We start from the raw sequence: 22,745 nt of genomic DNA on the forward strand, positions 1-22,745 counted from the left end.
AACTTCCTCATTTTCAAGATGAAGAGATGTTATTTCTTCCTATTGTGTTTCTAGGACTCGAAATGAGCATCTGTATTCTTCATTATGGAAATGGAAAATGAGTTTGCCCTATAATTAATGCTAGACATGACAATTTTTCTGGCACTACCTTCAAAATAAAAATTTTCAATATGAAAATCTCATAAGAAAATCTCAGATGCAGATTCATCTCAAAATCCAGGTGACATAATTCAACAAAATGAAAAGCAGCCTGTTTATAAGACCAATTTTCTTTAAAGCATTTCTTTTTTTTTTTTAAGGAAACACATTTATTCACACTCTAAAATCATGAAATGTTAGACCTGCGAACTCCTCACCTTACAAACAAGAAAATCAGGTATCAGATGATTAAGCCATTAAGTCTTCACCAGTAGATACAGAACTTTCTCCAGTACAATGTCTTCACATAAATCAATTAAAAGAAAATGCTCTAAAATTAGATAAGCTCCAAAGAGTAATCTGTTCACACTGGGACATGTTGAATTTGAGGTGAACTGATAGCAGTTGTAAGGGTAAATCTGAAGTTGAGAAGAGAATTCTGGGCTGGGGATCATATAGATTTCCCAACGAAACCAAAAGAGAAAAGGAGATTCTGAGACCACCTTCAGAAAAATCCAACATTTAAAAGGGTAGAAAGAAAAAGCAGGTACAAACAAAGAACTGCTTTCCTGTTAATTGTTTTTACTCCTAAAATATTTGATTGAATGTTTCCAAGTGGAAATCTGAGGAGCCCAGTGAAGAGGATTCTCTTAGGCAATTGGTGGATTCTCTTAGGCAATTGATCGAACCCAGTGATAAATTTCCCAAAGTAGTCTTATGACACACAGTGCATCTATGACACAAAAACTGTAAAGTAAATCACTTTTCAAAAGTAATTCACCTTAAAAATTGATTAAAATTAACTGAATGTTAATTTCTTAGTATTGACAGATATACAACGGTTATATGACATATTCACATTAGGGAAAAATGAACAAAAAGAACTCTCTAAAATATGTTTATGACATTTCTAGAATCTCAAATTATTCTGAATTAAAATATTTATTTTTAAAATAAAGCATGCTGATCTGATTAACTCCCATATATTACATATAAAATGACAAAGCTGTGATATTTATAAATACATTCTCTTTTAAAAAATGATGGAGATACATTCAACAAAGAAAAATACAACCACAACCAAAACAAGCAACCTACAAATTCCTCCCCACTTTTGTTACGTTTATAGACATAAAACATGCATTATCCTTGTTTGAATGGCATGTCTTTGAAAATGTCCTCCCATTTTAGAGTTTCAAATAAAACAAGCATATACTTTTCTACTTAATCTCATCAATTTAAACCTTCATATCTTTTCTTAAAGTACTGCAAAGAGTAGATGCATCATTTAGGGATTGCTAGGTAGAGTGAAATAGGCTGGAGTCAGTATTTATTTTGTTATTGCAGGAGTAGCCTTCTGTTTAAAATGACACCTTCTCTTGCAATTGAAATCTTACTGGCTATGTGGAAAACTAGAAAGTCAGGAATCTAGAAAACACTTGTTGCAGTGGATGTCTTAAGAAGTGTCCTCAGCTTCCTTTTCTCTAGCCTGAGGTTTTGTAAAGCAATCAAGAGCTATTCAGTTTAATGTTTTATACCTAGGTATCATTTCAGTCAGTTTTAATGAATGGTTCACAAAATATCCCATAATTCTTCACCATATTTTAAGCTGCTTACTGAGAAAATAATACTATTGATGACCATTCCAGTATCAAGAGTAAATGGTTTACATAATTATTATTACTTATTCAAAATTGTTTCACCTAAGGCCAGATTCTCATTTACTGCCCAGACCCACTCACACTCACCTACCCACTCCATCCCACCAAAAAAAAAAAAAGAAAATTAAGAGCTGGCGAAGGAAGTAGAATAAGGCAAACAAAGAATTATTGCTACAGCAATTTATAAGAACGCTCAATTATACCCTAAGGGTCTGAGACAGTTATGCAGTTATGCCAAAGTGTCCAATTTACTTTTTCTGAAGAAAAACACTTAGCAACAATGGCTAATTTTAATGAATAAAGAGAATGAATACAAACTAAATATGCAGATGACTTTTAAACAAAAAGTTGCATCCATTTTGCATTACTTTTATATTTCATAAAGCATGAAACCGGCTTTTAAGAAATCAGTATGTTGTCCTGAGAACATGTAGAACAATAGGAAACAACCCCCTTGACTGATTTTGAGACAAGCTACTTGGGTCCTCTCTGGATATTCTAGTACCCTCGGTGTCCGTAATGCCATTTTAGAAGCAGGTATTGATATTAAGGGATGTGTAGCCTACCTGATTTGACCTGATTTTGTGTTACCTTTTATTTCGTGACTGGATAACTAGTGCTGCTCAAACACAGGAAACATACAGCGAAATAACATGAATGTATCTCCTTGAACCACATTAAACTCTCCTTTCTCCAAGCTACCTTGAAATATATAGAATACAATGAGCAAATATATTGACAAGACAATGAGCAAATATATATTAAGTAATGCTATAGGGTAAAATAGTTAGGCCTTCAGTGCTCCTCTAGTTTTATGCCTATTTGTCTTGAATCCTCAATTGAACTTTTAAGGCAGCAAGTGTCTCATTTTTCTTTGCATAACCCATGACATCTAGCAGTGTTCTGGCATAGATACAATCATGCAGTACATATTTTAACAGATCTTAACTAACAATGTACAAAAGCACTGAGAGGGGTGCTTAGTAATTACTTATATATTTTAATTTTCAACATTCTGGAAAGAGATAGTAAAATTCCTAAAGGCTAAGAAACCTCTTGGCAAGTCCAACAGTAGCTTATCCCCGGCCAAATTTTTGGCTTGCTATATGTACTTTTAAGCCTATTAGTTAATAGCTACATGTTTAACAATGTTTTACATAGACACACATTTTATACAAATGTTGTAGTCCCACTACAAATCTAAAGAGTAGATGATCCACTCAAATCTAGCTGTGCTAATGGAGGGATGCATGGTATATAATTAAAACAATGATTTTGAAGCCAATGGAGGGTAACTGGTCCAAAAAGCACATCTAATCATGCAAAATAATTCATTATGTAGACAGTTCATACATGGAAAATTGAGAATTGACTCCCAAGGCTGTACATATGCAACTTCTAAATAAAGTGCTTTAAAAAAATCAAAATTCTATGTAAAAGGTTTGATCTGACAATAAAATGGTTTTGAAGTCATAATGGCAGCCTTAGTTTTATATATGTAATTACACCTTATTATAAATACATTTTATTACATATATATAATCTATACATTTGCATATAAAGTATTTTTTTCATTATAGGTAAATTCATTTCACTGGACGACTGATTAGGAAAGAATTTTGTCTTTGATATACTCTCCCATCCGAGTACTAACCAGGATCAACTCTGCTTAGCTTCTGAGATCAGATGAGAATGGGTGCATTCAGGGTGGTATGGCCGTAGACTGATATACTCCTGTAGAGTTTTCAACTTGAACGATGTTAAGTCAGCCAGGTAATGGCATTTCCCCATACTGTTAAGCCTTCACTGTATCCATGACTTTACTAATAAATTTAGGCTGTGAACTTATGTAATCATGTTTTCCATCAAAAATCTGAAATAGGCTTAGAGCCAAGATGGTGGAACCCTACAAGACTCATTACATTTTAATAAAAAAGCAGGGGGAACAAAGGTGAGAGCACAAAGACTGCAGAACTAATTTCTTTCGGGAACTGACTTATTTTGGCTCCCCAAAATAATATTCAAGTCATTCCCACCATGATAAATAGTTTTTGTCTTTCAAAGTAATGAATAAAGTAATGGAGACTTTATAACAAAAGGCTATACATTATAGTCATGGGAAAATAGTAAAACAAGTATTTGAATGTTTTTTATTCCCAAGAAGATGAATTGTGGCTTAACCCACAGATCAAAAAATATATAGCACAACACTGAAAAAAATTATCATTGATTTTTGGGAAATCTGAGCTAGTTACTTATGATTAATCAAATGAATTAAAATAAAGGTGAAAATTTGAGGAGCAAATGGAAACGGGTAGTGATAATACACATAGTTTATGATGCAAAAATATAAACTATCTCTCATATATTTCTGCTTTTTAATAGTTGTTACTCAGTTTGAACTCATATTGTCTTTAATGTGCCAAAAGACCCTAGATATATCCATGAATGTATAATTGTCTGTGACTCTCTCCAATTTTTCTGTATACTGGAAATTGCCTACCTACTCCACAATATTGTCCTTAGCTCCATTCTCTATGCTAGAGTGATGAGGGAAGGAGGCCTTCAGGAGATTCAAATATCAGCTGTCAAGTAAATGTAAATAAGATAGCAGAAGGTAAAATCAGTCTTTCTGGTCAATACTGGTAACTCTAGTGTAAATTTTAAAAACTTAAATGCTAAAGAATGTATAAATCTAAACTTAGTGTCATTATACTATCTTGAATTTGCACAAAGATTATTGTTTATGTCTTTAATAATCTCAAGTTCTGAAGCAAATGGATGCCATTTTTTTCTATCTATTGGTGTTTGAGTCCATAAACCACAGGTAAAGCAACAGAGGAATAAAACACTGGGAGCAGGGAAAATGGGAGGTAAAAGAGAAGACTAAATAATAAAAGGCACCACTTGATCTAAGTATGATTAAATATTCATTAACGCTGTTCAGCTGTGGATTTTGGTAGTGCTCATAATACTAGAATTAACAGCACTAATTTTGATAGGGTGAAATCTCATTTAAATGTCATTTTCTAAATGGGCAGAGTATAAGTTCTTAAATATTTAAACTTAATATAGACAAAGGCCTAAAGTACTTGGCTACATGCTTTTTTCCCATTTGAAAACTAAAAAGTGTCAGCTAAGAGGGCTTTTCCTATCAATTAGCATTCTGGTTACTGAATCCATCATATAGTTAATTGATTGCCCTTGTACCTTATCAATGCACCCAGATGCTGTGGTATGAACACATTTCATAAATTAAAGAAGCATATGGAAGTGACACAGACAGTAGCATTTCATCCCAGAACATCTTTAATATGCGATGCTACATCACTAATTATTTTGTAAATATGTAAGTATTTCCCTAGTTAATGTGTTGGTGAGAAGTTTGCTTGGCAGTTGAGCCCAAATGTTATTGTAACCAGACATTTAATAACAGTTCAGGACTCTTGTAGTTTCATTCCATTCTGCCCATAAGGAGAATGTGTCTCTTAGCCTACTGGGCAACCTTGATTGTGCAAAGTCAATGAAAATATTTATCCTTTATTACTGGGTAATTTTCCTTAATGAACAGCAGTCTACTCTCCATAATATAAATATCTGTCCAAAGATCGGTCTGGAGACTCTTTCTAAAAATGTTACAGGGAATTTGCCAAGTGAGGAGCATATTGCTGCTTAGTGAATTTTTTTCCATTAATTTCTAAGGATAGAATATGAAGGAAATTGCAGCAGAAATAAGTTGGCTTTATTCTTCAACTTTGGGAAAACTAGTATAATGATCTGAGTATATTATCCTGAATTTACCTTAAGGTACCAAAAGTAAAAATTTTTTTCTTCTTGTCTAAGTCATAATTTCTTGTCAAGCCAAGTTTCAAAAGTTAAGTCAAAAGAACTTTTTTTGAGAATGGAAACTTTCTTTGGAGAATGGAAATTCTCTACATTAATTAATGTATTAATACAAAATCCACTAGATAACTGACAAGTGAGCTGCGGGCAACCCAAAAGATTGCATTTAAACATTTTAAATTTGTGTTTCTGTTACATTTTAGAAGCATGATTTTTGTCAGATTAATTTGCACTTAGGACTGAAAACTGTATCTGGGTTCAACTAGAATTTTGTAAGAGTCATTAAAATCAGAGGATTCAGAAATAAGTTGATTTTCATCCTCCTTCAGTCCTATGACTTTTCTGGGCAAAAACTGTGTCCAGTTCTCTGGGAGCTGGGGGTGACAGAGGGCTTGATGGAGGCTGCTGAGAGATTAATTTCATTTCAGAATTTGAACTGGGTATTGGTCAGGCTCCACGCTGCATGATAAAATCAACAAATACTTAAATAAAATATTCAAAAGTTATTCTGTAAATGGCCATCTATTAAAAAGTCAGAAGGAAAATAATAGTAGATTAGTTTGCATGGCTCTAAACATTTTCAGAATTGAAAACTTATTTAGGGAAAAATTTGGTAAGCCCTATAGATGCTTGAATCATCCAAAGTCTAGTAAATAAGTTTAGTATTAATTGCCACTTTTATATTTCGATGCTACTAACTAAAATAATACAATAGCCTACTGTTAATTTCTCTTCTGCTTTTCCTGAGCTTGGCAAAGAGAAAAATGTGACAAACACCACAAATAGACAACACACCATTTGTAATCTGGTAAAGCAACTTCTATTCATGGAATTTCTTCCCTTTATGAAGCGAGGGCTATCTAATTTAATGAAAATAGTTGTCACCACAGATATGACATTCTGTCTCCTAATTAAATGAAGATGCAATCAGAACTTCCCTTGAAAAGAGAGGCCAGGCTTCCTTCACTATTAAGCACACTCTTCCCTAAGGGCACCCTCCTACCCTTTTTCTGATATGCAATCCCTTCTGTCCTCCATCTGCTCCACCCCCACCTATTGTCTCCACTCACTCCAAGCATGCCAATCCCATCTGGCTATACTCTTGCTTCTGCTAGCTCTAATTCTCCACAGGCCTAGGGAATGTTTGAATGCCAAGGCATTTTTGCTTTTCTCGAGAATAAGGACTAGCTAGGAGGGTATCAAACAATTCCCCAAGGAATTCACACACACATGAACATGCACATGGTCTCTCACATACACAAACAGCAGTTTAGAATCCTCCTCTAGGATATAATTTCTTTAAAAATGTTTTTAATTATTTCATCTGGGAGGCATTTTAGAAAATTAAAATCTTACTATTGTTGAAATAATCAAAATTAATATTTCAGAAATAAACACTTTCATTATCCCAGACACGCATTTTTTTCAGTAAGCAGAATTAATGTAAGTAAATGTTACTCATATCTTATCATGAAATATTTACATTAATCAGGTTTAATCACTGATCACTAATACGTTTTCTGTTTTAGCAAACATGCATTTAATTCAGACATTCCATCTTTACAAATGCTCATGAAAATCCCACTCTGCCACAAAAGCATGCATGGTCAGAATCTAAGCATATTTAAGCAAAAATTTCAGCAAGTCATTAACAATAATAAAGCAGTCTGGCAAGTACTGAAAGCAGCTTTTATTCATGCTTTTACTTGAACTAAGTTAATACATATATACATACATATGCACACACACACACACACACACACAGACACAAGTTTTGGTTGTTTTTGCCACAAGCATGCTGATAAACCCCTGAAGCTCACACAAAGCAGCAGACAAAACTAGAAGCAACCATGCTCAGGGTTTAAGGACATTTTAAAATTTAAAACAACCTTTCCACATTTCACATACAGCGTGCATAAATTTGACATGCAATCTTCAAGAAGAAATATTTTAACATAAATCTTAAAATTAGTTTATCCAAATGAGTTTATTCTTATTTTCATTATTATTGTTTTTAGGCTTCTGGTATCTTAAACCCTGCATGCTGCAGATCTAAGCTGTGCTCAGCAGCGGCTGTGACAGAAGAAGCTACCTGCAAGTTTTCACAGTGCCATCTCATATCCATGTCTGTCTGGCTACCCTGCGTGCTTAGAGCTTTTTTCTTAATTCTTAATGGAAATCCTAGGAAATTTAGTCCATCCTCTGAAATCAATACTGGTGACAGGAGAGCTCCCTGACTCAGTGGGAGATCAAGATGATAAATTGCCTGCGCATCAGCCCGGCCTATCAGTGCCCTGCACACAGATGGGCGAGAAAAGACACAGAAAACGCTCTGTCAGTCACGTGTCACTGAGGAGCCAATGGCTGACGCACTACGGCAGGAAGGGATGCTGCAGTTCCGTCTGCAGTTGACGAGGCTGTTGGTACACAGCCCAGCCCGGCACCACTCAAAAAGTCTCAGCAGTCGTTGCTTTTCAATTTGCTCCCCTAACGAGACCGCATAGGTAAACAGACCTCCCTCTAACCCCCGACCGAAAAAAAGGCTTATTTTCATGCACGAACATTTTCTGTATATTACATTCAAATCCAGTGTGATTGCTAAACACAGAGGGGAAACTTTTTTTTCCCCAGCCCTTAAACTGTTATGTGTTTTTCTTGAGATAATTATCTTTTTACCTAATATTAAATTAGAAGACTTAAAACTGTGCAATTAGCATGGAACCCTCCTAGTAGAATCTCCTCGAAGCCTTGTAATTGTAATTACAATTTTATTTGTAAGTTAATGAATGACATTTTTTGAATGCCAAGTTTATAATGAGTATTTTTATGGGATGAGTTTGTAAAGACAATTATGCAACATTAAGAAATACATTCTTAGGCTTTTTTTTTTTTGGCCAATTACAACTGTTGCTCTTTAAAGACAATTTAAGTCCCAATAAATATGCCATTTTATCAATCATTAAAAATAAAAACAAGCACCAAAAGATGCACATCCTGTTTCCCAAAGCCTGAAGAACAAATGTATTATTCAATGATGAAAATATGTACTTATTTGCTGCCTTTTCTCTGAAATTTACAATAATTATTTGGTAAGCAAAGACTACACATCTGGAATACCATATGGAACTATATCCCCAAATACATCTGTTTCCAGTGATCATACTGTAATAACAGATATGTTTACACACTTCTTCAATGTGAGATGATTATATATAGTTATATATACATATACATACAATTATATATTATATATATGATTATATACAGTCTGACAGGGTAGGCTATAAGTGATGAGACCGGTGTGTGTTTCAAATGACAGTATCACGGAGATTTTTTTTTTAAAGCTCAAAAGTAGCATAAAACAATCTTCAGGAATAAAATTTCTAGAAGAAAAATTACCCTAGCCACCCTGGCACTTTTATTGCTTTTCATTGCCCAGTTTTCATACTATTCATACATTTGAAAGAATTAATTCTAACATCTTTTAGAGTCTGGCAACACTATTTAGAAAAAAAGTGTATTGGAATAAACATTGATAGGTGTGCCTCATAAGTAAAGCTTATGAGTTGTAGAATGCTGAAATTCCAAAGCTCAATTTGTCTTGGCAACTATTTTTTTAAACTAAACACATTCCTGAAAGATTGAACCCTGTCAAGTTTTTTTGCAAATTCTTTCTTTCATTCAATATTGACTATCAGGAAATAATAAAGCATTTTTCAAGTTTTTTAAAATAGATGTTGTCATGTGTTTTTTTCTATTTATTCAGACTATTCAATAATAACGTAATTCTCAACAAACTTTATTCTTAAAAAATATTATGACTCAGAGCACCTGTCATTAAAAACAAAATAATAATAAAACATCAACACTAAACCTATTCATTAGAGCACTGTAATAGCCCCAAACTAGAAACCACCTTAATCACTGATAGTAAACTGAGTAGATAAACTATGATACAGCCTTACAGGTGAAATACTCTTCATCTGTAAAATACAATGTGGTAAATCATATGTCCTTATATGAAGAGATTTCTCAGATACATTTGAATGAAAAAGCCATAAAATTTAAATTGTGTATAGGCTATACTTACTTACATAATACATGCATGTATACACACACAAATGATTGCATATGCGGAAGAATTTTTTTTTTTTTTTTTTTTTTTGAGATGGAGTCTTGCTCTGTCACCCAGGCTGGAGTGCAGTGGTGGGATCTAGACTCACTGCAACCTCTGCCTCTCAGGTTCAAGTGATTCTTCTGCCTCAGCCTCCTGAGTAGATGGGATTACAGGAGAGTGCCACCACGCCCAGCTAATTTTTTTTTTTTTTTGTATTTTTAGTAGAGATGGGGTTACACCATGTTGGCCTGGTGGGTCTCAAACTCCTGATCTCGAGTGATCCGCCCACCTTGGCCTCCCAAAGTACCAGGATTATAGAGGCATGAGCCACCCTGCCCGACCTACAGGAAATTTCTGTAAGGACATAAACTATCAGTTAATAGTGGCCAAATAGTGGCTACATCTGAGGAGACTGAGTTCAAAGGTAGGACTGAGACATAGTTTTATTAGGTATCATTTTATACATTTTGTTTAAGTCTATGGTTTACTTTTCTAATTTAAAATGAATTAAGATAATGTTATCGATGTTCATGTAGGTTTAGAAGAGCATGACTGGTATGTTTTGAGGGAAAATCTTGAGGGAAAGGAAGGAAGACAGAGGGAAGGACATGTGGCCTGCTTTTTTTCATGTAAAGAAAATAGTGTAGGTGTGGGCAAGAAGGGAACTGTAAAATAAAGGTTCTGGCAATCTCTGCTGAAGACCTTCACATCTCATATCAACTTGAAGTTCTTTTATCTATGAATGCAAATAATAATACAGACATGGATTAAGAGCTTTACAATTTAGAGTGACGATTAACCCAAATTTTGTCTGATTCTTCCAGGAACGAATGTAAAAGGCTGAGAAGTAAATGATTTGTATATTTACCCAGACATGGGCAAATTAACCTCTTCAAGCCTTAGTTTTCTCAGCTGGATGCAATTAGCAAAAAGTGGCCAAGCTAAACTTGAATTTCAATTTAGGGTATTGTTCACTGCTGCTTCAAAGGCAAAATAACATCCATGTTTTTACCAATAATGGTGTAGGGCTAAAGACAAAACAAATTTTCACGTGTTTCCTCCCCAGAAGCAGCTTATGTTGTCCAAAACTGAAAACTTGGCTTATAGATTCTATTGTTGGCTCTTGTTGTTATTCAGATTCTTGTAACTTTAAGAGATACAAACCTAAAAAAAAAATGAATTGGCCAAATTAAGTCAAAGATTACAATTTGAATAATTTAAGGGTTTTGGGGTTTTACATAAAAGTGCTGTAAATCAGTGGTTTCGGATGGTGATTTTGCTCCATCCCACCCCCCAGGGAACATTTGACAATGTTTGGTGACATTTCTGGTTGTCAAAACTGGAGGGTGCTAGCAGCATCCAGTGGATAGTGGCCAAGAATGCTGCTAATCATTCTATAATGTACAGGACAGTCCCTATCACAAATAATTATTTGGACCCAAATGTCAACAGTGCTGAGATAGAGAAACCATGTTCTAAATGCTAAACTTTTCTACCTTCTTTCCGAAAGATTAAATAAATATATTCTGTATTATGAAGCATATATTGTAACGTGACAAGATTTAGATGGAGAAGAGAAGGGGACCAAGGACCAAGCCCTGGGTTTCTCCAATTTTAATAAGTTACAGAAAACAGGAAAAAACAGCAAGTGAGGATGAAGAGATGGGAGGACAACTCAAAGGATGGTGACCTGGAAGTCAGTGGTAAAAGTGTGTTAGTAAAGAGATTAGGGTCAATTTGTTCAAATGCTGTGATAGGTCAAGTTATCTGTTCTTCATAGGTTTTTTAAAAGAATTAAAGTGAGAAATTAACCTAATTGAAATTAACAGTATACTTGAAGTCTTTATTGCTCTGCATGATATTTGCATTTTTAAAGGTATGGACAGAAAATGTAGCGGGGCGGTGGCTCACCTGTAATCCCAGCACTTTGGGATGCTGAGTCGAGTGGATCACGAGGTCAGGAGATTGACACCATCCTGGCCAACATGGTGAAACCCTGTCTCTACTAAAAACACAAAAATTAGCTAGGCGTGGTGGCAGGTGCCTGTAATCCCAGCTACTTGGGAGGCAGAGCCAGGAGAATCGCTTGAACCAGGGAGTCAGAGGTTGCAGTGAGCTGAGATTGCACCACCGCACTCCAGCCTGGTGACAGAGCGAGACTCCATCCCCCACAAAAAAGAAAATGTAGTAATTACAGGGATCACAGGAGGACTAGCTGAGGAAATATATAAAGGAGAGGAAACTTCTGTAACTCTCAAATTATAATTCTGAGGCTACTTTCTCTACAAAGGTGGGCTTGTGAGCAAGAAAGTGAACAAATCCTATCTTGGACCACCCTACACCACAGCTTGCATGGGAGACAGAGTGCCACCCTCTCCCCTTAGAAACTATGTCTGCAGTTCTTGTCCTCGGGCTCTCACGAAGTGTCTCTATCCATAGATAAGGTTTCTGAAAACAGAGTTCTAAGGACTAACTTCAGGTGCTTTTCCTCCTGGGACTCCTCTAATGCTAATCCCCACACTGTCAGGCCTGTGGTGTTCAGGGTTAGTGCAGCAAGGCTCAAAGACAGAGCCAGCTGGAGGACTAGGACACTGGAGCAGCTTTAAGCAAAGCTAATGCCTTTGTTGCAAAGGAAATGTTAGAAATCTCACAGAAAAACAGCTGGGGGAGGGAGGGCAGAGGAGAGAGAGAGAGATAGCCATAAAAAGAAAAGAGAGGCCACAAAAAAAAAAAAAAAAAGATGACCACAAACCCATGGATATTATTACAAACTCTATGGTGTGGGAGAAAACTACATGTCACAATTCTCTTAAAACTAGATAGATTTTTACAAATTGAATAGTCCAACTCCTTCGTTTTAGAGATGGATTTTAATGTAGAGAGGTTAAATAATTTGTTTTAAATTTTAAGTGAAAGTGACATTCTTTACCATTCAAAGCAATCAGTGAACCTGATATTGACAAATTTCAAGGTGCTTTCAAAAATCATCATAGATAACAACCAGGGTAAGACTTAGGGGAAGGAGGTCGGGTGCGGGGGCTCATGCCTGTAATCCCAGTTCTTTGGGAGGCCGAAGCAGGTGGATCACAAGATCAGGAGTTCGAGACCAGCCTGGCCAACATGGTGAAACCCTGTCTCTACTAAAAATTCCAAAATTAGCCAGGCGTGGTGGCATGCACCTGTAATCTCAGCTACTTGAGAGGCTGAGGCAGGATAATGCCTTGAACCCAGGAGGTGGAGGTTGCAGTAAGCCAAGATCATGCCACTGCACTCCAGCCTGGGTGACAGAACAAGACTCAAAAAAACAAAGAAACAAAAACTTAGAGGGAGGGGAAAAGTTGATGTTCAGTAAGAGATAAATCTCCAAAGCCTTCTCTTTCCCATGCTGATGCTGTATTAAGGCACGGAGAGCCTTTGCTATCAGGGAGAGGAAGTATTATCTTCCAAAATATTCCAATGAGTATTTATAGGTTATGAAATACAAAAGAAGAAGCCTTGAGTATTCTCCTTTCAGAAGAATTTAAGTGGCTGCTGAAGTTTTTTTTAAATGAAAATTCTCATCTCTATTTGCACTACAGTCATGATGAATAGGATGCATGGATGACTTTCAAAAGACATATGTCAGAAAGTAAACTCCAGTTGACAGGAACTATAGCATAGGGAAATATTTTGGACTGTTTTCAGTTTTTAAGAGATGGGAAAAATAGAAGTGGTGGAAAATCCAAGCAGATTGTCTTAGTTTTTTATTATTTTTCCTTTTTCTCCTTATAATTGAAGCACTACTTTGAGACTATGGAGTACCATTAAATTCCTATTAACTATTAATTTAATATTTGCAAGTATGGATTAGAGATAGGATGGAAATTAATGTCCAAGTGAGTAAAATTCCACATAGTCTTATATTGTTTTTTTGGTTTTTTTTTTCTGCTACTGTATTCTTGTGGGTTTTGTTTTTCTTACTCTGGTTGTTTATCTAGGTATATATGCTTTGTAAAAAGCAAACAGAAACAAAACATCTGTGGCCCCAGGCAATCTTTTCATTAACATTATATCCTAAAAATTATTATGCTAATGTTAAAAATAAAGAAATTGGGACTCAGAGGGATTAAATAACATATATATCCATGAAGCTAGCAACTGAAAGTCTACGACTACATTTTGAATGTTCTCTCCAAATCAGAACTAGCGTTCCAGAATAGTTGTTGTTAAAGTTTATTATGCATAAGAACCAACAAGGCACACGTTAAACATCCAGATTTCTGGGCCCTTCCATGGAGACTGATTCCTACTCTAACTCAGATGGATTCCAAGAGTCTGCATTGTTAACAAACATTCCATCTTCCATACTTTAAGAACCTTGGGACCATATTGGAGTTTCAGCTTCGGAATTCTTCTTTGGGAAAAGCCATATCAACAAGATTTCAATGAATAGAAATGGGAAGCTTTAAAAAAATAGAAAGGAAAGTTGGTAGGAGTAGTTTTTTACCAAGAGAGAAACTGGAGCAGAGAATAGCTTCACAGCAGAGAGGAAAAATGCAGATGACTTAGAGCCATCCATTAAGGGATAGTTTCCCATATTGAGTTAGATAAAGTATGAAGTATTTTAGTTGAAAATATTTTTGAGCAAGGAAGATTAATGTGCATAGAAGAAATGTACAAATCATAGCATTTAGAATAGGATGACCCTTTTGAACCTACAAATAGGGCACTTGGCTGAATTGGTTCCTACCTCCACTGCTGCAATTAGAAACCATGAATGTGCAGATATACAGGCAATGTCATTTTGTATATGCTAGAAAATAATTTATTTTCAGAGGGGTTTTCATATGATGGGTTTCTAGACCTCTAGAGAGAGGTAAAGTTTCCTTTATAAGATGAGAACCTACTGAAGTCAGATGAAAACCTCCCCAATTGCTTGACAATAAATCTTCCCAGAGAAAAGTCCTCAGCCATTTCATGTGAAATGATGACTCATGAAAATGAAATAGTACACTGTACAGAAATCTTGCAATTCTAGTTTTTCTCCTAGCTGACTTCTAGGTTGGAAAGCTTAAGGTCAAAGATTAGTGGTGCCAAAACATGCTCATTTTAGGCTAATCTCTACATTTCCTACTGCCAGTCTCTGACCAGTTTTTAAATTTTCTGAGCTTTTTGGCATGCTATGTATTTCTCTTACTTTGACAGAAGGATGACATACTATTCACTTTGATCCAACCTCAAGACCCAAAGGATAAGGTTAATAAGGAACTGAATCTTTCAGGACAATGCAGTTTACCAAACAGTAGTCAGTGACTAAATATTTTTGGTAACTGATTGATGAAAGCACTCATCAAAAAACCATAGTCCATGGACAAGTCCATCAGAAGAAATTAAGGAAAATTGGAAAAAAGGAAGAATGAAGGGGAGGGAGGGAAGAGGGAAAAGAACTAAAGGAAAAATGAACATAAAACCTTACATGTAGTTGAGGCACAACAATGGACTATACGAGAAACTTTTGGCTTGTCAGTGAATACAGCTTGTCAGGCATTATCAAGTGTAAATCCTCTTCCCCCCCACTTTTCCCGCTCTTGATAATGACCCAAGCAATAATATTTTATGCAACAAGAATGACTTAAATAAGACACCTATGAAGAAGGCCACAGATGACTTCATAACCCTATGCATATGTACATACAGAACCCACATGGAGTGAATGTTGCCTATTAACAAAACTGTGAAATCTGAGTTAGAAACAAAGCTCAGCTTGGACTGAATATATAAAAAAATCAGTGAACAGAAGATATTTTCAAATGGACACTTACATAAATACAGCATTCCAAGGGAAAATTCCAGCCTCAGATGCACTTATTTCATGAAGACTCAATATTTTATAGCAATGGTTTTCCAAAGTTAAGTTGCTTAAGATCTAGGGTGCTTATTAAAAATGCAAAGTGTCTGGACCCACCCTGATCTAAGGAATTATAATTTCCAGGGATGAGAGTGAAAATCTATATGTATAACATGTACTCCAGGTGATCCTGACGTAGGTTGTTTTAGACTTTATTTGAGACACACACTCTCCAATGTACATAAAGTCAAGAACCAGATTCTTCTCCAACCATTTCCTGCAGATAGTCACACCAGCCTTGGACATGCCGGGTCATCCAATTCAATTATTAAACACAATGTCTTTCATTTGGAGAGATAGAAGATTGATAAATCTAGAAAAAGATTAGGAATGATGAGATGAATAGATTATCAATAGATTTCATGAAACAGGTTCGATTCAATTTGGGCCTTGAATGATGGTAGAGTTAATTATTTTGGCAAAGGCATTGAGGTATAAAATGTTTTTCTTTAAAACTGTTAGAATTTATTATTAAAATGATAAACTTCTTTATCTTTTCAGCTGGAGGGCTTAGCAATGCTTCCAGCACATATGAAATCACCAATAACTCTTAGTTGAATTAGTAAATTACATGACCACAAAAAAGTAAATCTACTTAAAAAAAACACACAAAATCCCACCACCTTGACAAAACTTCATGATTTTTGTTGATGATGCTGTTGTTTTGATTTTTATTTCAAATTCTTCATTTCTTATTTGTATAGTTTGAATAGTTATAGTAATAAAGATATAATTTTCTTTGGTTTTATAAGTTATATAATGGCACATACATTTTCCATCTTGATTTAGAATATTCATAATTATTCTAGTAGCAAAAGAATAAATAAAATGGATGTATTGTAATGTACATACCTATTCTGTGTTTTTTAGATAATGGACGCATTTCTATTCTGCATTTCTGCTTTGTAAATAACAATTTTCTTCCTTTGTATTTTTTTCATAACATAAGTGACCATAAATGAGATTACTAGACTAAAGACATAGTGTTTTTATAGATCTTGAAACAATCTGTTAAACTACTTTTCAAAAGACTTGTTCTAATTTTCACATTGTCTCAAGCATGCTATGTTCTATAACATCTTTACTGGCATGAACATGCTGTCTTTTCTATCTGGGGACGCCCTTTTCCCATTTAAATAAAAAATCTTGGTAAACTCCTACACATTGTTTTGTACTAAGCTCAAATGCTATTCTTTCTTGCAGCCTTTCCAAATCCTCTAGGAAGAGTTAGTCATTATTTCCATTGTGTTTCCATAGTACTTTGTAATAATACTATTTGGGACACTTATTCAAATAGCTCTGTGTTTGTTATAGTTTGTATATTTCTTTTCTTTTTCCTAGATTATTAGCAACTCAAGGGATGAGCCGCTGTCCACTTCATCTTTGGAACATCAGCTTCTAGCACAGGGGCTGGTTATATTAGACATTCAATAAATGTTTGTTAAGCAAATGAGGAATAAATGAGTAAATGTCAATGTGATACTCAAGTCAAAATCTGTGGCTGTATGTTGGGTAAAAATGCTTTCTTTCCTTAAGTCTTTTATAGGTCATTTAGTACTAGGAACATTTATATTTTTACGGGTCTTTTAAATTATATTTTTATACTTTTAATATTTATATATTTTGTAGGTCTACATTTTTAATACCTTTGCTGATGACTTTCAGGCTTAGATAGCACAATTCTATGATATGCTGTGAGTCAGATCTTTGAGTCCTTTAGATAATGACTTTTAGGTATTCTGGAATCAGAAAATGTCTTTTTCTAGTTCATACAGAAACAACTTTTGTTAATTAAGTGTTAGGACTAGTAAATAAGATTAGAAACCACCTGTGGAGAACACAGCATGTACATGGCCCCACTGTAGATGGAATAAATGTTTTAAAATAACTGCTGATAAATTATTTAACAAAATATAATCAATAATTATTCTAACATATATCACTGTGCATTTTGTTGCATTACATATATTCTCTCATTTTCTCTCTACCAAAACTGGTAAGAAATACAAAGACTGGACACTGTGGCTCCTTCCTGTACTTTGGGAGGCTGAGGCAGGAGGATTACTTGAGGCCAAGAGTTTGAGATCAGCCTGGGCAATAGAGTGAGATCTCATTTCTACTAAAATTAAAAAAAAAATTAGCTGGGTGTGGTAATACAGCACCTGTAGTCTCAGCTACTCAGGAAGCTGAAGTGGGAAGATCACTTGAGCCTAAGAGGCTGAGGCTGCAGTGAGCTGTGATCATGGCACTGCACTCCAGTGCGGTCAATAGAGTGAGACCTGGTTTCAAAAAATTAAGAAAAAAAAATCAGAAAAAGCAAATACAGACAAAGCAAGTATACCATAAATGTAATTTGAAAGATAAGTAATCTAACACACAGAAATGTGGCTAGCAAGTGGAAAAATCAGAACCAGAATTCACATATTTTAAGCCACATTTTAGCCTTCATTCTAGTAAAATCACTACACCCAACTGAATTTTGCTAATTTCAAACTGAGAAAATGAGATCTGACGTCGTATAAACTAAACAGGTGTTTTAAAAACAAACAGAAACTTCTCTAGCAATAAAAACTTTTTTTCCAAAATAATGCTTATGAATAATTCAATATAAAAAACAATATCAGAGGACTCATATTGAAGTGAGTGGCCAGTGAAGGGGGGCTCCTTTCTCTCCTCTTTTATGGCTCTTGGTAGTTCCTAGAGCTTGCACTCAGGAAAGCACTGTATTGGGCCATTTCTTTACTTAGTCATTCAGTCATTAATACATCTTACAGCCTAACTAGGTACAAAGAATTGTGGGAAAGATAAATACAAGACAAAGTCCTTTGAGAACACACAAACACACACACACACACACACACACACACACGATAGTATATTATAAATGCCACAGAAGTTATATTGCATAGTAGTAAGCATTCTGAAAGTTCAGAGAAGAATGATGTCTAGTCCCATACCCTGGATTGAGTTCCACATGTCCACCTAAGGACACACAGATTTTGTTTCTTATTTGGTGACTTGGTACAAACCATTTAATCTGCCTATTTGGGCATCCATTCCTGAGAAATAAAAGTGATCAATGTTGCCAATCCAATGCATGTAATATGTGACTATAGGGAGAGAATAACTTAGTGGAGAGAATGGGGCAGTGAAATCAGACAGATCTGGTTTTACAGCTTTGGCACTTAGATTGAGCTAGTTAGTTCAACTTCTCTAAGTCACAGCTGTTTCACCCATAAAATGAGAGTAACAGCAATATATACCTTTTGAAAATTTCCATAAGGTATCAATAAGATAAAATATAACACCTAGCAGAGAAACTAGCATAGATTCAATGGTCAATAAATAGCAGAAATCCTTATTAACTATTAAGATGAAGAAGTTACATCTAGGATTTGCATAGACTATTTTGATTCTACGATTCAATAAATTTTATTTTTGACATAACTCATTCACCGTGGAAGAAATTAGTGTTCTATATTTAATGAAGACCAAAGACTTTGGCTTGGTAAATACTATTCTTAGAATTTTCCTCCTTTTCAAGCTGTATAGATTCATGTGAAGCCTGGAAAAGACGCTACTATGTTTTATTTTGCAATGCACTAGATTTTGCTTGTACTCTTTAGAAAATGTTAGGCTTTATTTCAGTCGTCATTTGTGCATAAACTCTAGTCAGATCAAGCAAAAACAATGAAGTCATTAGTGTGCACTGAGTTTAGTCACTTCTTTAAATGCTACATTAATTGCTTTGAGATTCTCTACTTCCACTGTGACAAGCAAGACAAATGGAGTTTACCTGCAGGACACATCACCAGTCACCTTCCCAGCAAGCTGGCTACAACCTCATCTGCTCCTTTTCACTTAAGAAGGCATACTGTCATGCAAATGAGTGAGAATGATAACACAGACAAAATCTTGAATCTACATTGCTTGATATTTACAACAAAAAAAAAATATTCACTCACTTTGGAAGTTAAACCATTATTAGTAATACTGACAACACATTTCACATTCGATGGGGCCATACCAATATGTAACAATTTATGGTACAGAATCACTTCATGGTATGACCCAAGGAAATGTACTTCATTTGTGGAATAATTAAAAGTCCATCCTTTCTGTGAAGAAAATGCTTTATACTCTGAAGACCACTATCATGAATTAAAAAATCCAGTATCACAAATTGTAGACAACCTAAAAGAATGTTAACTTAATAATATGTGACTTCGATCTAAATGAAGTGATAAATTGGCCAGAAACTCAGATGCCACAGGGCACATATGTTACATAAATAATCACATAAATAATCTAGCATTTCTCTAAAGCAGCGATTCTCAATTTTGGTCTTAGATCTTATTGTCACTGTTAAAAATAATTGAAAACTCCAAAGACATACATATTGTTTATGTAGATTACATATGTGGATATTTACTCTATTAGAAATTAAAGGTGATAAAAGTTAAATATTTAACTGATTTAAAAATAACAATAAACCCATTAACATAAATTTAAAAAGGAACTACATTTTCAAAAACATACATTTTAAAGAAAATAATACTGTTTTACATTTTTGCAGATCTTTTCAATATCTTTTAAATTAGAAGACTGGGGCTCATATTTGCTTCTGCAATCTATTGCAATATTTCATGTCATGTAGTCTTTAAAAAATTCCACTGTATCCTTATGAAACAATGAGAATGAAAAGGGTAAAGTTTTTTCTTTTTTTGTTGACATATAATAACTACATATTTATGAGATACAGAGTGATATTTTGATACATGCATACAACATGTAATAATCAAATAAGTGTAATTAGCATATCCATAATCTCACACATTTATCATGTCTTTGTTTTGGGAACACTCAAAGTCCTCTCTTCTAGCTTTTTGAAAATATACATTAGGTTGGGCATGGTCACTCACACCTATAATTTCAGCACTTTGGGAGGCCAAGGCAGGTGGATTGCTTGAGCCCAGGAGTTTGAGACCAGCCTGGGCAACATGGCAAAACCCCATCTCTACAAAAAATACAAAAAATTAGCCAGGTGGGGTGGTGCACACCTGCAGTTCCAGTTACTTGGGAGGCTGAAGTGGGAGGACCACCTAAGCTGGGCAGGTTGAGGCTGCAGTGAGCCACTGCGTTCCAGCTTGGCTGACAGAGTGAGAAAAAAAAAAGAAAATATACATTAAATTATTATTAACCATATTTACCCTGCAGTACTATAGAACACTAGGACTTATTCCTCCTTATCTAACTGTAATTTTGTATCTGTTAGCCAACTTCTCCCTATTCTTACTTCCCCCTTTACCTTTCCCAGCCTACAATTCTGCTCTCTATTTCAATGAGCTAAATTTCTCTTAGCTCCCACATATGAGTGAGAACATGCAGTAAAATTTTAGTATTATTTTGAAAATAATTTTGACCTCACTGAAAAGGTCTTACAACACTCCTTTCCCCTGTCCTAAGCCTTGGCCTCCCAAGACTTCTAGATCATATTTTGAGAAACACTGCTCTGTTTTTATAATATTTAGAGCATATATTATTTATTATTTTTTGTGTCTAATTTACATATATGTCCTATTGTTGTTTCCCTATTTGAAATTTTCCTGATGGAGATCATCATTACAAACCTTAGGTATCACTTTACAGCATGTGGTAAGCCTGCCTGGAACCACAGTGTACCTCAACATGTAATATTGATTCAATGACCCATTGATAGATTGAAGCCTATAGTGTCTTATGGTCCCTTTAATGACCTTTAAAATATGTGATATAGTAGTATTTTTATAGTTTGTCAAATTTTGAGCCCATTATGTCAACATTCTACCTAAATAGAAGGATGAGCTAATCATACATAAATTTATTCTAGATGAAACAACGTTTTTTTTTTTTTGACTCAGCTGTGACTTTTGGAAAAGAAACTAGAATTCTAGAGAAGTTATTATTATACATTTTTTTCCTATAAAATTTATCCTAACATATCAGGCAATATTTTAAGGTCTAATCAATTTATATATTTAGTTGTAATTTCACAATTACAAAACAATTGAAAGCAAAAATATGAAAATCATCAGTTTGAATTGATTTGAAGCTATAGTTTCCTATGTCTATGAGTGGAACAAAAAAAGTAACAAATATTACTTTTATGTGTTCTACTGCCAAATCAGATCCTTTGAAAGGCACCCACTTAGTAACTTGGAAATGAAACATTTATACATTCATCCCTGCTAAATTGCTGCAAAATGTGATGGTTGGGAAATATATATTAAAGAGTGAAACAGTCCTCCTAAATTAAAGGTTTTCTTACATAATAAATAATTTCTTTGACTCTTTGAAAATGGTTCCATTATCTCCTGATCTAGGAAACCCACAGAGAAAGACTTAGTGTCTGCCATTACCTTGGTAATCAGATAATTATTCTGACTATTCTATCAGAAAAAAAAAAAACTGTACATACTGAAAAGAAGACTCTTTCCTGCTAAAATCTGGGTAAACAAAATAGCTGCTAGACTGGGAAACAAAAAGAGGGGTCACAGATCTGAGTTGACTCTTCCTTTTTCATGAGTCATAGGACAGCAGATATACTAGTTGTCTTTTGCTTTCAGAAGAGTTTTACATTACCTAAACTCATGGCTGAATCACAAAGTACATGGCCAGAAGACTTAGTGACTTAGTAACAGAGTTCTCTTAGACATTTTACCCTCCTTAAACTAATTTTGGTCTTGACACAGTTAACTATTAAAAAAAAAAAAAAAAAAAAGCCCTGAAGCCTGCCTATTCACCTCTGATCACTGAGAATGAATTGAATTATCACCGTACAAATAAATTTGGGAAGCAAGATAATGGGAGGGAAAAGAGATGATTAATATTTGAACTGTAAAGGATATATGTCTGAAATTTAATTATTAACAAATGTGCATTGATGCAATTATGTACCATTACATAGCAGAGTTAAGAAATCTAAATTAAGTAAATTGCAAATGCTATAACTAAACTTATAACAAGTTATTTTAAAAATTAAAACTCTCATCAGTTGAAAACTATATCCAACAGAAATCAGGCAGGAATTTCTACCACCTGTTCATATGCATGTACAGTG

General features: G+C 34.7%; 1 protein-coding gene across 21 annotated transcripts in view, besides 3 other annotated features; it reads right to left on the reverse strand.

The window, feature by feature from the left end:
- NRXN1 (neurexin 1) overlaps positions 1–22,745 on the reverse strand; it is a 1,113,630-nt gene that overhangs the window by 47,731 nt on the left and 1,043,154 nt on the right. For 2 of the 21 annotated variants that reach the window (NM_001320157.4, NM_001320156.4), the window contains exon 1: positions 7,735–7,933. The exons of the other annotated variants lie outside the window; for them this stretch is intronic. In NM_001320157.4, the coding sequence (NP_001307086.1) occupies positions 7,735–7,767 (33 nt within the window). In that variant the 5' untranslated portion in view covers positions 7,768–7,933. Of the gene's footprint in view, positions 1–7,734; positions 7,934–22,745 lie in introns of those variants that run through there. 21 annotated transcript variants of the gene reach the window in all.
- Positions 5,399–9,240: an enhancer, noted in NCBI's record as "VISTA enhancer hs2343". NCBI's record gives its function as "enhancer in: hindbrain (rhombencephalon)[4/4] | dorsal root ganglion[4/4] | forebrain[4/4] | trigeminal V (ganglion, cranial)[4/4]" and the evidence as "EXISTENCE:transgenic organism evidence [ECO:0001131][PMID:17130149]".
- Positions 6,399–6,961: an enhancer, noted in NCBI's record as "NANOG hESC enhancer chr2:50199770-50200332 (GRCh37/hg19 assembly coordinates)". NCBI's record gives its function as "activates a minimal SCP1, AML or CMV promoter by ChIP-STARR-seq in primed H9 embryonic stem cells {active_cell/tissue: H9 hESC(primed)}" and the evidence as "EXISTENCE:reporter gene assay evidence [ECO:0000049][PMID:30033119]".
- Positions 7,790–7,859: an enhancer, noted in NCBI's record as "active region_15752". NCBI's record gives its function as "activates an Ori minimal core promoter by ATAC-STARR-seq in GM12878 lymphoblastoid cells {active_cell/tissue: GM12878}" and the evidence as "EXISTENCE:reporter gene assay evidence [ECO:0000049][PMID:35858748]".

This window comes from Homo sapiens, chromosome 2 (genome assembly GCF_000001405.40).
Source record: "Homo sapiens chromosome 2, GRCh38.p14 Primary Assembly".
Classification (NCBI taxonomy): domain Eukaryota; kingdom Metazoa; phylum Chordata; class Mammalia; order Primates; family Hominidae; genus Homo; species Homo sapiens.